This window comes from Homo sapiens, chromosome 5 (genome assembly GCF_000001405.40).
Source record: "Homo sapiens chromosome 5, GRCh38.p14 Primary Assembly".
NCBI classification, from domain to species: Eukaryota; Metazoa; Chordata; class Mammalia; order Primates; family Hominidae; genus Homo; species Homo sapiens.
In genome coordinates, this window is record NC_000005.10 from 19,764,030 (window position 1) to 19,779,719 (window position 15,690).

General features: G+C 34.8%; 1 protein-coding gene and 1 long non-coding RNA gene across 21 annotated transcripts in view; one reads left to right on the forward strand and one right to left on the reverse strand.

Annotated features, from left to right (window-relative positions):
- CDH18 (cadherin 18) overlaps positions 1 to 15,690 on the reverse strand; it is a 1,104,418-nt gene that overhangs the window by 292,734 nt on the left and 795,994 nt on the right. The window lies entirely within an intron of this gene.
- Positions 7,372 to 14,676, forward strand: LOC105374672 (uncharacterized). Its single transcript, XR_925821.3, has 3 exons — positions 7,372 to 7,455; positions 9,104 to 9,239; positions 14,593 to 14,676. It is a non-coding gene; the product is annotated as an uncharacterized LOC105374672 (long non-coding RNA).

A 15,690-nucleotide genomic window follows, 5' to 3' on the forward strand; every position in this document is an offset into this window, starting at 1 on the left:
TGGTGGCAGATGCCTGTAATCCCAGCTACTTGGGAGGCTGAGACAGGAGAAATCGCTTGAACCCAGGAGGTGGAGCTTGCAGTTAGCCAAGATCGTGCCACTGTACTCTGCACTCCAGCCTGGGCAACAGAGCGAGACTCTGTCTCAAAAAAAAAAAAAAAATACAGTACATATATGCAAGGAGATTTATATAGCAATAATCATTGTTGATTATTTGAGAGACAAAAAGGAATGTAAAGATCTGGCTGGAGGGTAAATACTTAAGGAAATATGAATGATTATTAAAATAATAGTATAAATGTGTTAGCTCTGAAGAACTACCCATAATTTGTTGGTAATTGAGAAAATCACATTGTGTCAAAATACGATATAATGTACAACGTAAGGTTGTATTTTGCTAAAAATTATAAATAATAAAACTCCATATATGTGGTATTCATATTTATTAATATAAACACATATAAAGTTAGGGAAGAATATAACCAAGGCATGAGTCACTTGAGGGAAGGTAGAGAAGAAAACTATGCTTTAATGACTTAGTTCCCTTTATGCATCTTTCATAGTTTTAATTGATTAAGTAGGATTCTATTTCTTCATATATATATATATATATATATATACACACACACATACACATATATGTATATATATCTTTATAACCATATATGTGTGTGTGTATATAGTTATTATCTTTTAAAAGGTTATGGGTTTTATTTGAGCCAGTTATGTGAAAAAGTCAGAATGTTTTACCACTCTTTGTCAGTATATTAAGAGTCAACAGAAAAACAAGGTAAAATCTCATTTCCATGCAGTCTCGAAGCTTTGCTTGATTCTCATTCTGCATTGCATAAGAATTTGACTTTCCTTGTGCTCATTCTTGCTAAATTCTGTCCTTAATTTGGCTATAATTACTAGGCCATTTCATCAAGTTTTCTAGGTATTTCCAGTTAATATTTTTTCAAATGACTGCTTACAGAAGTCTTTCTTAAATTTTTTTTGGATTTGTATCCCTGACCATCTCTCATGTCTCCCACATAAGCCCTGTCATTTCTATACCTTTATTCAGCCATAGTTCTGGCCTTTATCAATATGTTCTCATGTGTATTCTCAGCTAAAATCCAATTCAATGTAACTGAATGGAAGAAAGAATTAACTGCATCCCCGCTATGTATCAAGTGATGTGCTAAGGTGAATCAAACAGGGGCCATTGTCCTCAAGAAGTTTTTAGCTCAGTGAGCAAGTAAGAGTGAGATCCACAGAATAGTTGATATTCCAATAAAGGCATTAAGGGAAACTCACTTTCCCTTGAGGGAAAATTTTCCCAGAAAAAAAGACAATCTCAATCTATAGTCCTGTTTCTTTTTTTATTTTTTTTTTAATAAAAAAGCTAAAAGTTATTCAAAAATTATTTGTTTGGGGATTTCTCATCACATTTTTTCTCTTAATTATCCACCTTGTGAATTAAACCATATTATTTGACAGAAACTGATCTAACGTCACAGAACATCTTCTGGTTATTGAATAACATAATTTTATAAAGAGGGAGAAATTTAAAAACACAATGAAGCTAATTCAATACACTAAAGAACCAAAATGCAAAACTCTGACCTATTGAGTCCTCGCTCTGGGAATTCAACGAATGGGGAGAAGCTGTGGGTTGAGGCAAACTAAGGAAGACAGTTAAAGAGTGTCTTTTTAAAGTTTTCCTGTGCTAGAGAATGGGGTTACTCAACCCAGGGTTGAGCCCATATAACTCTCCACATTGAAATAAAAATCCTGCAAAGTCTGCTGCTGTGCACAAATTCTTTTCACAGTTAAGTTCATTAAAAATGGAAATTTTATTCAAAAAACATTTTTTTTTTTCTTTTGAGACAGAGTCTCGCTCTGCCACCCAGGCTGGAGTGCAATGACATGAACTCGGCTCACTGCAACCTCGGCCTCCCAGGTTCAAGCAATTCTCCTGCCTCAGCCTCCCGAGTAGCTGGGATTACAGGTGCCCACCACCACACCCGGCTATTTTTGTATATTTAGTAGGGACAGGGTTTCACCATGTTGGTCAGACTGGTCTCAAACTCCTGACCTCAGGCGATCTGCCTGTCCCAGTCTCCCAAATTGCTGGGATCACAGGCGTCAGCCATCGTGCCCGACCCAGAACTTTTTCAATCGTAAAGTCCAAAGTATTCACTTACGAGTCTGAACTCATTCTGTATCTTCTCTTGTATGTATCAGAGTAAGAAGCTGGCACTTTCTTACTCTTCTCTCAGTAACCCAAGATTGAAATTTTATGGTTAATATCGATTTTTCTTTCATCATTTCTCCTCACTATAAGCTTTCAAAGTGTTTGTGATTCTTTCTTCTTAGAAGTCTCCCAAATCCACCCCTTCTCTCCATCACAGTTACCACTGGGTTCATTCATACATCATACTTTCTTACTTAGATTGTCGTACTTATCCTGTAAGTGGTCTCATTACCTCTGTTCCTGTTCATCTCTCCATCCAGTCCATTCACCCTGCTTGTCAATGTGTTATTTCTGAAATTGGAGTTTGATCCTTTTCTGCATAAAATATTTGAGAGCTTCCCCACAGTCTCAGAAGGAAGGCATCTTGATCTGATGCCTGTCTAGGTTTCTCACAGAATCATTTGGCTCATTCACTCTGAATTTCAGCAAACTAAACTGTATAATCTGGCTTTAAAAGTGCCAACCCATCCACATCTAATCCCCTTCAAACTAGATAGTTTCTATTTATCTGCCCGGATTTTAGTGGTTTTCCATCCTCTGTGAAGTTGCTTCTGAACTTCTCATTGTAATAAGCTGCCACTCCATTCTGATGCCAAAGAATGCCTTGTCATTCAATACTTCCCTATTATACTATCTTTTCTTTTAAAGGTTTCATCTTTCCAACTTCACTCTCATTGAGGGGAGGAGCCAAATTTCATTCATTTTCATAACTCCAGTAACCATGCACATCTGATTTTTAATAAATATTATTAAAAATAAAATATGATAATTGAAAATTTTATTATTAATTTCAATAAGGCATATCAAATAAGTAAACAAAAATTTAAAAAACACAAAAATGTGTAAAAATATTAAAATAATACCAGGAGAAAACTTGGCTCAGTGGAATTCTAAAGTCAGTCAAGAGATCAATATAAAAAATGTGTTTTTTTGTAAATCTCAATTTAAACAGACAACCTACTATTAAAAGCAAAAATAATAACATTATAAGCTGGGTTTTATAAGGTCACAAATAATACGTATGACAAACGTAGAAAAAATGGAAGGGATAGGTAATTGTAATTATATTGTCATAAAAGCAGAGTAGTTGCGAATAAGGAGGCTTGAAGGGTAAAGGAAAAATTAGTAGAAAACGTCATGAAGGAAATAAGCAAAGGAAATAGCCTAGCAAATATAAAGTATCAGATGAGAAGTGGTACAATATTTACTCCAAATATACTTCAATATATTATTTTATTAATGGATATTATTAGCATTTGAATAAATAAAGTGATGCATAACTGAAAAAGTCATAGAGAAATTAAAACAGAATAATGAAAGTATTTGAATAAACCAAGATAAAGCAGAAAGAAACATTAGAAAACAAAAACAGAGGGGACACAATTAAAATAAAAACAATATTGTAGACATCTACCAAGTCTTATAAATCATCATATTATATATAATTGTATGGAGACTTCAGTAGAAATGGTGGAAAAACAACCTCCAAATTATTTCTTCCATTAAAGCAATGAAAATACTGCCAAAAATTGTAATAAGTAACTGTTTCCAAACTTGGGAAATTGACCAAAATCTTGCAGCATTCCAGGGATGTATAGAAGAAAAATGTATATGAGAAAGAAATGTATATAAGAAAGAAAAATGTATATAAGAAAAATGTCTGAATCTTCATATCTTCAACAATGAGCTTTGAGTTATGTTAATTTGCTCTATTCCCCTCCCTCCACCTCCACTGCAGCCTTGAAAACCAAGATCCACAAATCAAGGTCAAAATCAGCAGCCTGGTAGCCACTGGAGGGAACAGAATTGAGCTGGAGTTCCTTCAAGCTACATACCCCTAAAATTCTAATTATGTGAACTCTGATGGTTCCTCGGAAGACCCCACTCTCAAGTTTGTTGTTATTTGTTCTGACTCAGAATTTACCTAATGCAAATAGCTTTTACCACAGAGGTTTTTCAGAAACAATCAGAGGAAATTCTTGAATAGCAAAGCTGCCTGAAATGGTGAATAACAAAACAAACAATAGAATAACTAAAAAAGCTTAAAAGGAAAAGCTAGGGAATTAGAGATTTATAAGGAAATTTCAAAGCTCTGACATATTTCAGAAAATCTAGAAGTCACATGCATTTGTAGATTTTGCAAATATCTGGAGAAGTAATTAAAGTTTAAAAGACATACAAAGAACATAGATCTAACTTCTAGTTAAACTTGGGGTCTTTGCAAGCAGAAATGTATGACAAAGGTGGAGTTGTAAACTTTCCAGCTGAGTGTTGAAGGTATACCTCAACATATACAACGCTGCCCCATAGTAAATGTTAATATATATATTGGTTCCAGATATTTAAAAATCTCTGTCAAATCATTAACTCACTGATAATTAAGGCAAGCTGAGACTTCCACAAGCAAATACAACCAGAAATAAAGATTTTACAAAACTATTGCAGAAAACTTATTAACAACAACAATAACAACAAATGGCAGCAACAACAAACACCATAGAGAGGGGAGAACCTGATTTCCAGATTTGCCACATTATAATATTTATAATAGAAGTATAAAGACAATATCTCACAAAATAGAAAAAATCAATAACAAAATAAACATTATAAGACACAACTAACATATCTGAAAAAGAAAAGTATAATAATGGAAATTGAAAACTTACTAGAAGGGCACAACAACAGATTTAAAAGAAGGCAGAAGAAAGAAACAGCAACATTGACAAGAGGTCAATTGAGATTATTCAGTCTAATAAAGAGAAAGGAAAAAGAATGACAAAAAAATAAACAGCATATAAGATACCACCAAGCCTAAGAACATATGGATAATGGGAGTCACAGAAATAGAGAGAGAAAAGGAGACAGAAAGAACACTTGAAGATATAAAGCCGCAAAACTTTCTCTATTTGATAGAAACCATAAATCTACATTCCAGTAGCTCAATGAACCTCAAGTAGCATAAACTAAAAGGGATTCATATTGATATACATTGCTATCAAACTCCTAGAAGACAAAACAAAGCCAGAATCCTGAAAGTAGCAAGAGAAAAGAATCTTGTTACCTGCAAGACATTGAACAGCTGATTTCTAATAAAAAACCACAGAAGCTAGGAGGGAGTTGGATTATATATTCAACATGCTGAAAGAAAACTACTATCAACTAAAGTTCAATATCTAGCAAACTAGCTGTTAAAAATGATGGAGAAATTACAATGTTCCTAGATAAACAACTACTGAGAAATTTTTTGCTAGTAGATCTGCCCTCCAGAAATACTAAAGACAGTTCTATAGGCTGAAAAGTTGTATTCCAACACCTTATAAGCAAAAGTTAACTGGAAGTAAATCAAAAGCCTAAATGTAATAGATAAAACAATAAAACTCTTAAAATGAAACACAAATGTAAATCTTTACAACATTAGAATAAGCAATGTTTTGTAACTATGATGTCAAAAGCATGGACAAATAAAAATATAGATAAATTATATACATTAAAACTGTTGTGCTTCAAAATGTGCTACCAAAAAAGTGAAAGTACGACTCACAGAGTGGGAGACAGTATGTACAAATTATTATATCTGATAAGGATCTAGTATCTAGAATTTATAAGTAGCACAACTCAACAATAAGGCAAATAGCCTAATTAAAAAGGAATGCAGAATTTGAGTACACACTTCTCAAAAGAAGATATGTAAACAATAAATAAAGATAATCAACATCATTAGTCATTACAGAAATGTAAATGAAAACCACAATGGGTTGCCACTTCACAGTCATTAGGAGAGCTAAAGTTTTTAAAAGACATAAGTAGTGGCAAGGGTAAGGAAAAATTAAAACATTATATATTGCAGATAGATTGTAAAGTGGTGTAGCCATTTTGATAAGCATTTGTCAATTTCTCAAAATATTACACATATATTTTCCCTGAAATTCACTCATAAAGTATGTGAAATTCCAATTAATATAACAAGGGACTTTTTAAAGAAATTAACAAGCTGATTCTAAAAGATACATGAAAATGGAAATGACCTATAATTGTCAAACAGTTTGAAAAAAAAACATAATCAGCAGATTAACAGTACTTGATTTCAGGTCTCACAAGAAAATTACATTAGTATAAAATATAGACATTCAGATTAAAGGGACAGATTAGTCCAAAAATGTATCCCCACACATGTAACTATAACCTGAATTTTAACATAGTTTTCTAATGTAATTTAAAATTTAATTTAATGTGACAATATAATTTAACAGAAACAAAGAGATTATTCTATCCCCAGAATTCTAATGGCAGTATGCCAGCTAAGAAAACTATTCAGTTGCAAATCCATCCAAACTTTCCATGCCAAAAAAAAAGGAAAAAAAGAAAAGGAAGACCAAGACAGACTGCAGAAAAAAAAAGTCCACAGAGTGTAGTCATGAAAATTATTCCTAGGCCTTGAGCCCTAATCAAGGAACTTCTAATATTTCTCTGGCTGAATTTCAGAATTGCTATGTACTCTTTTGTGTCTGCCATTTTGCTGTTTTTGAAAAGGAATAGCTGTATTCATTTTTCTATGCTTGTATCAGCATTGCATTTTGTATTTTGGGGGGCAAATAACATTTCTTTGTAGCTTCACAGAACTACAGATGAAGAGAAACTATATACAAGGACATGGGCTTAAATATCTAGAATTTATAAACAGCACAACTCAACAAAAAGGCAATTAGTCCAGTTAAAAATGGACACATCAACACCTGGGCTTGAAATAGATCATGAGATTCTGGACTTTGAGATAACACTATAATGGGATGATACTTTTGGGGTACTTGGGTGAAGAGAAGTGTATTTTGTGAGAGAAACATGAATCACTGAGGTGTCAGAGGGCAGTCTCTGGTAGGCAGCTATTGGAATTACCTCTAATGTGTACTGTCTCCTGTCATTTACACCCTTGTGTAATGTCGTCTTTTTGAGTTTGGGTGGGACATAGCGACTCCTTGTAATAAGATAAAAGTGATGGATGTCACTTGGAAATATAGGTTATAAAATGATATTGGCTTCTGTCATGCTTACTCCCTCTTATCATCTATCACTCTTTGTTGCTCTCTATCTTGGAGCCCTCACTCAGGGCAGAAAGCTGCCATGCATGAGAAGCCCTAAGGAGAGGCTCACGTGGCAAGAAAACTGATGACTCCAGTCCACAGCCAACATGAACCTGAGGCCTGCCCAGAGACACACAGGTATCTTGGAAGGAGATTTTCCACAAAATTTTGTCTTGAAATGATTGCAACCCCAGCTAACACCTTGATCACAGCCATGAGAGTTCCTGAAACAGAGGCACTCAGCTAAGCCATGACTGAATTCCTGACTCACAGAAACTGTGAGATAAGGAATGTTTGTTGTTTTAAGCCACTGAGTATTGGGGAAATAATAAATTCACTAGTGAGGCGTTTGGATGTATCTCAAAATAGTATGCTGAATTAAGTAAGCTGAACTCAAAAAAACACATCGACTTTGGCTCCATTTGTATACATTTATAGGCCAAACGAAACTAAGCTGTAGTTAGAGAAATCAAATAGGCAGTTGTCAGGGGCAGGAGTGTACCAATTAACTGCAATATATTCTTTACTTCATTTGGGACAGTTTATAAAGTTTTCAAATGTCTCCACATTATATACTTATTAATGCAAAATGTACCTCTATAAAATCAAGATGAAGAAATTTACATTCAAAAAAGGATTGTGGTATTTTTATAGCTTACTAATGAATGTGCAAATTATTTTCCATTCTATATGTTTTTGGGAACCACTGACAGAATTTTTCTCTAAGATGATCGAACACTTTTTACTCTCCTGTCGTTAAAAAATAATTACTTAATATCCCAAACAAACTTCAGGGCCTGATTGTCACTCTTTTTCCTACCCACAGCCCAAAATACTTGTTTTGCATTTACAATATTACCACCTCCTCAAAAATATCCATGTCTTAATCTACAGAACTTGTCAATATGTTATTTTGCATGGAGAATAGGCTTTGCTGATGTGAGTAATTTAAGGAGAGTTAATCTGGATTATCCAGATATGCCCAATAAAATCCCAAGAGTTGTTATAAGAGAAAAGGGGAGGCAGGAGAGCCAGAAGAAACCTGTGAAGACATAAGCAAGTGTCAGTGAGAGAGAGAGAAAGAGTTGAAGATGTTATAATACTTGCTTTAAAGCTGGAAAATGGGTTACAAGAGAAGGAATTCAGGCTTCTAAAAGCTGAAAAAAAACAGAATCTCCTTTAGAGTCTCCAAAAGAAAAGCAGCCCTGTCCACACCTTGATTCCAGAAATTGTGACTTCCAGAACTGTCAGATGATACCATTATGTTGTTTTAATTTTGTCAGATATCCTGCTAAAACATTAATAGTTTTAGTACCACTTTGAAGTATTATTATACTCATATTTTTAAATTAAGAAACTGAATCTTATTGTTGTCAATAAATTTGCCCAAGATCACAAAGCTGCTAAGTAATAGAATGTAGATTTGAACCACAGTAATGTCAGAGCCTGGGCTCTTATAATTTAGCCAAACAACATTATTATGTATGCACAGGCATAATGACTGATAAGTCTAAGTGTACAAAACTGTAAATACATTTTTGCATCTTCTGCATTGGTTATATACTAAATGACCAAAATTAAGATTAAACATTATGTATATGTCCCTTCTTAAGTAAACATCAATAATTAAGAGCTGGTGAATTATTGTGTGATATTTATAAGGGTCTTATATTTATCTTCTGATATTCATATTCATAATGTTTCTGATATAATTTTATATAGATATTACCTACATACATAATCATAGGATAAATAAAGGGATTCTTATCTCTGTTTCATATTTTAGCAGCTATATAGTGAACAGTTACTAAGAACCAACTAACTGCAAATACTATTTAGGACTATACCATATAAAAATACGTGGAAATCCAAAGACAAATGGAATATCATTCAGAACAAGATCACATCAGAAGTCTGAAAAGGTAAGTAGAGCTCAGTCCCTTGAATGGCATGCTTTGTAGTTTAAAGTTTTTATTTAAAAAAGATATATCCATGCAATTATTTTAATCTAAAAATAGAGATGAAAAGAGAGGGATATAGCAGAAGCAAAATTGAACTTTAGAAAGGTAAAACAAATTGTAATTTGACTTACAAGGGGCAAGCATGGAGAAAACCTCACAGTTCAGAGGAGACTAAAGAAAAGTGAATCCTATTCAGGAGCACATTAAAGAGAAAATAAATAGGCATTTTATTTAAGAAATTAGAAACATTGATTTTAGGACATAAGGAAGTAGTTGAGTCAAGGAAGTATCAAGAATGGCAATTTGTTTACTATCTGAGAGACTGAGGAGGTGGTATCTTTTATAGGCTAAAGGTAATATAGAAGACACTAAAATGTAAGTGAGAGTTTAAAAATAGAAGATGATATAAACATAATGATAGTTGGGGAAAACTGAGTTTTGAGCTACCTGTAAATTCAGTGGATGTGTGCAGTTGACACATAAATGAGACATCAGAAAATAAAAGACATGAACTATAAAACCTAAAAGGATTCACATATTGCAGTTAAAGTTAAAAGAAAAACAGGTGGGAACACCAAGAACACATTTAAAAACTTGGAATCATAAACATTTATGAAAAGAGAAGATAAACACATACACCTATGAAAAGGAAAGAATGGGAAAAACAAAGAAGCACCTTCTGGAGAATTCTGAGGGACTCTACTATTTCTCTATATAGCTAGATCCAGGGTATTAATCACTTTTGGACATATTACTGGTCTTTGAGATTTACTCCAAAATAACATGGGTTTGGTGCACTGAAGAGGTGATGAAAAAGCTAGCATAGATAAACACCTACATTTTAGAGCTCAGAAGCTAGGGCTCACAAATTTTGGAGCCTGGGCAGAAATACCTGGGTGGCAGGGTGACAACTATTATGGACTGAATATTTGTGCCCCCTTAAAATTTATATTAAGGGGGGCTGGGCATAGTGGCTCATGCCTATAGTCCCAACTGTTCAGAAGGCAGAGGCAGGAGGATAACTTGAGCCCTAGTGGTGGAGGCTGAAGTGAGCATAACCGTGCCACAGCACTCCAGCCTGGGCAAAAAACTGAAACCTTGTCAAAAATAAAATAAAATTAAAATAAAATAAAATAAAATAAATAAATAAATCATAGTAAGGGGAAATACTGATATTAGGTAGAAATGGAGCCCTCATGAATGGGATAAGCACGCTTATGAAAGGGACCTCAGTCTGGGCGCAGTGGCTCACGCCTGTAATCCCAGCACTTTGGGAGGCTGAGGCGGGCGGATCACCTCAGGTCAGGAATTCGAGACCAGCCTCACCAATATGGTGAAACCCCATCTCCACTAAAAATACAAAAATTAGCCGTGTGGGGTGGTATGCACCTATAGTCCCAGCTACTAGGGAGGCTGAGACAGGAGAATTGAAGTGGAGTTGCAGGAAGCAAAGATCACACCATTGCACTACAGCCTGAGTGACAGAGCAAGACTCTGTCTCAAAAAAAAAAAAAAAAAAAAAAAAAAAAAAAAAAAAAAAAAGGCCAAGACTGCCATGGGAGAGTATACAAGTGTAAGTTGGCAGTCTACAATTCAGAAAAGGACCTACAACAGAACCCAACGGACCACGCAATACCCTGATGTTGGACTTTCAACCTCCAGAACCATGAGAAATAATTATTTCTGTTAATAAACCACCCAGTCTATGGTACTTTGTTATAAGAGCCCAAATTGACCAAGACAGGAACCCTTCAGAGCCAAAGCTGAAGAAGCTGGAAGTCCCAGCAGGGGCAGCAGTGAATGGGAAAAGCAAATAGCCAGTGGGGGCAATGCACCATACTGGAAAAGCAGGTGGTTTTCCATGACAAGCCATGGTGAAGATGAGGATGCTTGGAATATTTACGCTACTAGCTCGCTACCAACATTGGAGAAAGAGTTGATTGAAAGTAGTCCAGAGACAGGAACATGTCCTTTACCAGCTGTCTTAGGCCATTCTTGCATTGCTATAAAGAAATACCTGAGACGGGGTAATTTATAGGAAAAGATATTTAATCGCTCCTGGTTCCACAGGCTGTACAGGAAGCATAGAGGAATCTGCTTCTGTGGATGCGGAATCTGTTACTGTGGATGCGGAATCTGCTTCTGTGGATGCATCAAGAGGTTTACAGTTGTTGCGGAAGGTGAGGCAGGAGCAGACACCTCACAGAGTAAAAGCAGGAGCGAGAGAAAGACAGTGGGGGGGAGATGCCACACACTTTTAAATGACCAGATTTCAGGAGAACTCACTATCAGTAAAACAGCACTAAGCCATGAGGGATCTGCCCTGTGATCCAAACACCACCTACCAGGCACCACTTCCATCATTGAGGATTACAATTCAACATGAGATTTAGACGGAGACAAATATCCAAGCTATATCAGTAGCTGAGGCAGATGTACATCAGCAATATAAGACAAATAAGGCCTACAGGAATACTACACATGAAAATTAAGGCTGTCTTTGCAATAAAACAGATTAGAAACACATGAAAACAAAGGCCATGGTAAGGGAGAATGAAGTTGAGAACTCATAAGCTAGAGTTCATAAATTTTGGAGCATGGGCAGGAATATCTGGATGGGAGGATGGCAATTATTATGATAAGGGGAAACGAAGTGAGAAACCACTGATTTTGATCAACAAAAATGCAGATGTACAATAAAACTAAAGAAAATTATACTGTACACAAAATTATCAGAGAAATAATGGATGCAATTAACAAGATGCTCAAACAATAGGAAACCATCAAGAATGAGGAGAAATTTGAAAAAAATACTATCTTGGAATAATAAATATTAAGGGGATCAAAATTTTAGTGAATGGATTAAACAGCAGATTTGACACAATAAAGAAAATTAGAGTAAACTTAAACATTATGGTCATAATTGTTAGGATCTAAGGAGGACAAATGCACGTTTTCTTTTCCACCTACTCAAAAGGTTTCTTATTTTGGGCAGTCACTACAACATTATATTTCAGATTTTAAGAGATACATTCTTTATGCAAGGAGGACAATTGGCAAGAGTGGGAATACAGGAAGAGATTCAAAGCATTGATAACGGTCTGTTTAATTCTTTATGCAAATTATGTATTTACAGGCACTCAGTATTGAAGAAAGAGGAGGAAGAGGATGGAAAGAAAGAGGGATGAATGTAGGGAGGAAGTAAAAGAGGAGAAAATAAATTCATACAGGGAGCAATGATAGTACTATGATCAAATTAAAATGGGAGGAAAAAAGGCGTAATGACAGTGTCATACATTGACAGTGGGTTGTTTTAGAAAATGAGTAGATATAAAACCATTGGATTATATTAACAAAAGTAAGCCCATAGACTTCTCTTATTCAAATGACTGTTATACACATTTTTTTAGTTGAGTGGCACCATAGTGAAATAAGACTATATAAGTGGGAGCTTTGGAGTGTGGTATCTTTGTAACACTGAACAATGTAAATGTTCCATAAGTTTTGGTTTTCTCATTTGAAAAGTAGAAATAATAAGAACTAATAGTGAAAGTAGTAATAGGGATAAAATGAAATGCCAGTAAATCACTCATCATTATGTCCAGTAACAAAAACAAGTATTTTACAATGAAATATTACACAACATAATGCTTGAGTCTCGTATGTTTTTATACAAGTGTTGAGAAAGAAAATGCAAATATATGGCTCACACCTGTAATCTCAGCACTTTGGGAAGCCGAGGTGGATGGATCAGTTGAGGTCAGGAGTTCAAGACCAGCATGTCCAACATGGTAAAACCCTGTCTCTACTAAAAATACAAAAATTAGCCAGGCGTGATGGCACATGCCTGTAATCCCAGCTATGCAGGAGCCTGAGGCACAAGAATTGCTTGAACCTGGGAGGCAGAGGTTGCAGTGAGCCGAGATCGCATCATTCCACTCCAGCCTGGGCAACAAGAGTGAAACTCTGTCTCAAAAATAAAAGAAAAAAGAAAATGCAAATACAAAGCAAAGACAAGTTTATATGTATTCCTGAATTTTGTTTGCCTCTCTCTCCTCAATGCATGTTAACAACGACACAAGATAACAGATGGAAGGCAATCCAGTTTGGGTAGGTTAGCAATTATACATAGAGCTCAGATGGATTGTTATGCCAGTAAAGCAAACTGTCTAAATAACCTGAGACAACCAACAGAAGAAAGATTCACACAGTTGGCCGGCCACACTGTGCTTGTGAAGAATCAGGCACTACGTTTGAAAAAGAATTAGGGCCTAAATTGTTGGCATTCTTGCAGATGAATTAGAACAAACTAGCCTTGAGATGAAAGTTCCGTTCATCCTTGATCAAAGAAGAAGTAGGTAAAGAATTGCCAAATAAATATCTTACAGCCTTAAGTTGTCATGGAGATTGATCTTAAGTTTCTCCGATATTTTCAAAGTAAGCTAGTTTTATACCTGAAATTTTTCAGAATGCCTGGGTGCTTTTATGAAGATTATTTGAGAAAATAATTAAAATTACTAAAATGAATAGAACTTTTGCCAGACAGATCAGGAGAAACAAAGAACATAAATTATGACTATTAGGAATGGGAGAGAAGAAAGATCATTAAATTTCTATAAGTAGTAAAAAGGCAATAAGAGAATAATATGAATAGCTTTATGCTAATAAATTCAACAAATCAGATGAATCAAATTCCTTGAAAATCCCAAATTATTAAATTTTAATCAAGAAGAAAAAGATAACCTGAATAGCCCTGTATTTATTACGAAATCAATTTATAGTTTAAACTTTCCCCCACAAAAATCTCAATAGACACAAAACACCTTTGCCAAACCCAACTCCATTTGTTACAAAAACTACAAAGTAGAAACAACACAGAACATAATTAACCTGAAAAAGGGCATCTATGAAAAAACTACATTGAACCTACATGATTAAATATGGGAGACTGAACTTCCCTCCCCGCAGCCAATATCTGAAACACAACAAAGATATCTGCTTTCACCTCTTGTATTTCATATTTTGATGGAAGTTTTAGCCAAGAAATTAAAACGAAAGATGAATTAACAGTGTCTTTATCAGACAAGAAGAAACAGAACTACCTGAATTCACAAATACTACTGCCTATGTAAAAATTGTATTCAATCTACAAAAATACTATATGAACTTATAAATGACCTTAGCCAGATGATGGAATACATAATCAAGATGAAAAATGATTTTATCTCTGTATCTCTGTATCCTAGTAACAAATAAACAAAATTAGAAAGATAGACCTACTACATAAATAATCTCTGGTTTTCCTCTTTACCAGCCTTAAAACAAGACTCAGGAAACTGTCACCATGTGATATGGACTCTTCTTATTGTGCAAAGTCAAACTAATGAACAATTTTGGATGGAGACCCAAAAAATACAGTGGACACCACAAAACCATAATAAAAAAAAATTTAAGGCTTTCCCTGTTCCTTCATGAATTGGATAGCCAATAGGAGCCCATCTCCTCATGCTGATATCTCATCCCTGGACAGGAGAATATGAGGAAATTTAGCCTAGCTCTGCAGCCCCTGTTTCCTTTTTCTACATGTATTATGCTCAGATACCTCCTCCTTGCACTAGATCTGATGCTGGCTTCGTTTACTGGCCAGGAAGGATATTCAAAACTCTCTTTCACAAATGATGTCTCTGCACACACACAAGATTTCATCCACCTGGCTAGGAATAAAATACAGTTTGCATTATATAAAATAAGTTTAATAATATATGTGAGAATACTTTAAAAATTTTTATATTAATACATGAGGTAGATACTATGCCATTTAATAGAGGGAAAACTGAGACTATGGAAAGATCAATAATCTGATCGAGGTAGGACAACAAGTTAATAGCAGACAGAGACTCACATTAAGGATTCTACAATGTGTACATCTATAATATTAATTTTATAGAATAATCACTGAATATAAGTTGAATAATGTCCCAGATTAACTATTGCAACACTGTAAATTGGTTTTATCTTTTATTTTTTCTAATGAAGAAACCTAATAGTGGAGACATTAAGAAAATTGAGTTAGTTTATTGTTTTAAGTGGAGAATAAATTATTGTAACAAATAGACAGTAAAATACAATCGAAGCTGAATTCTTTCTCTCATTAGAGAGCAGTGGTAAGCAATCTATTGTTACCAAGGCAGATCTGCTATCCTCAATTCATGGCTTCCATGTTTGGATGTAGGACTTTCTTTGCTGATTTTGCTCTGTTCCAGCCAAGAGGGAGAAAAAGAAACAGGGACAAAGTGGAAGGAATTCAGAATTCGCCACAGTTTTTTTCTTAATGTCCTGTACCAAAGTTGCACATCTTACTTACACCAACATCCCAGTGGGTAAAATTTGGTCATGGTTATACACAGCTACA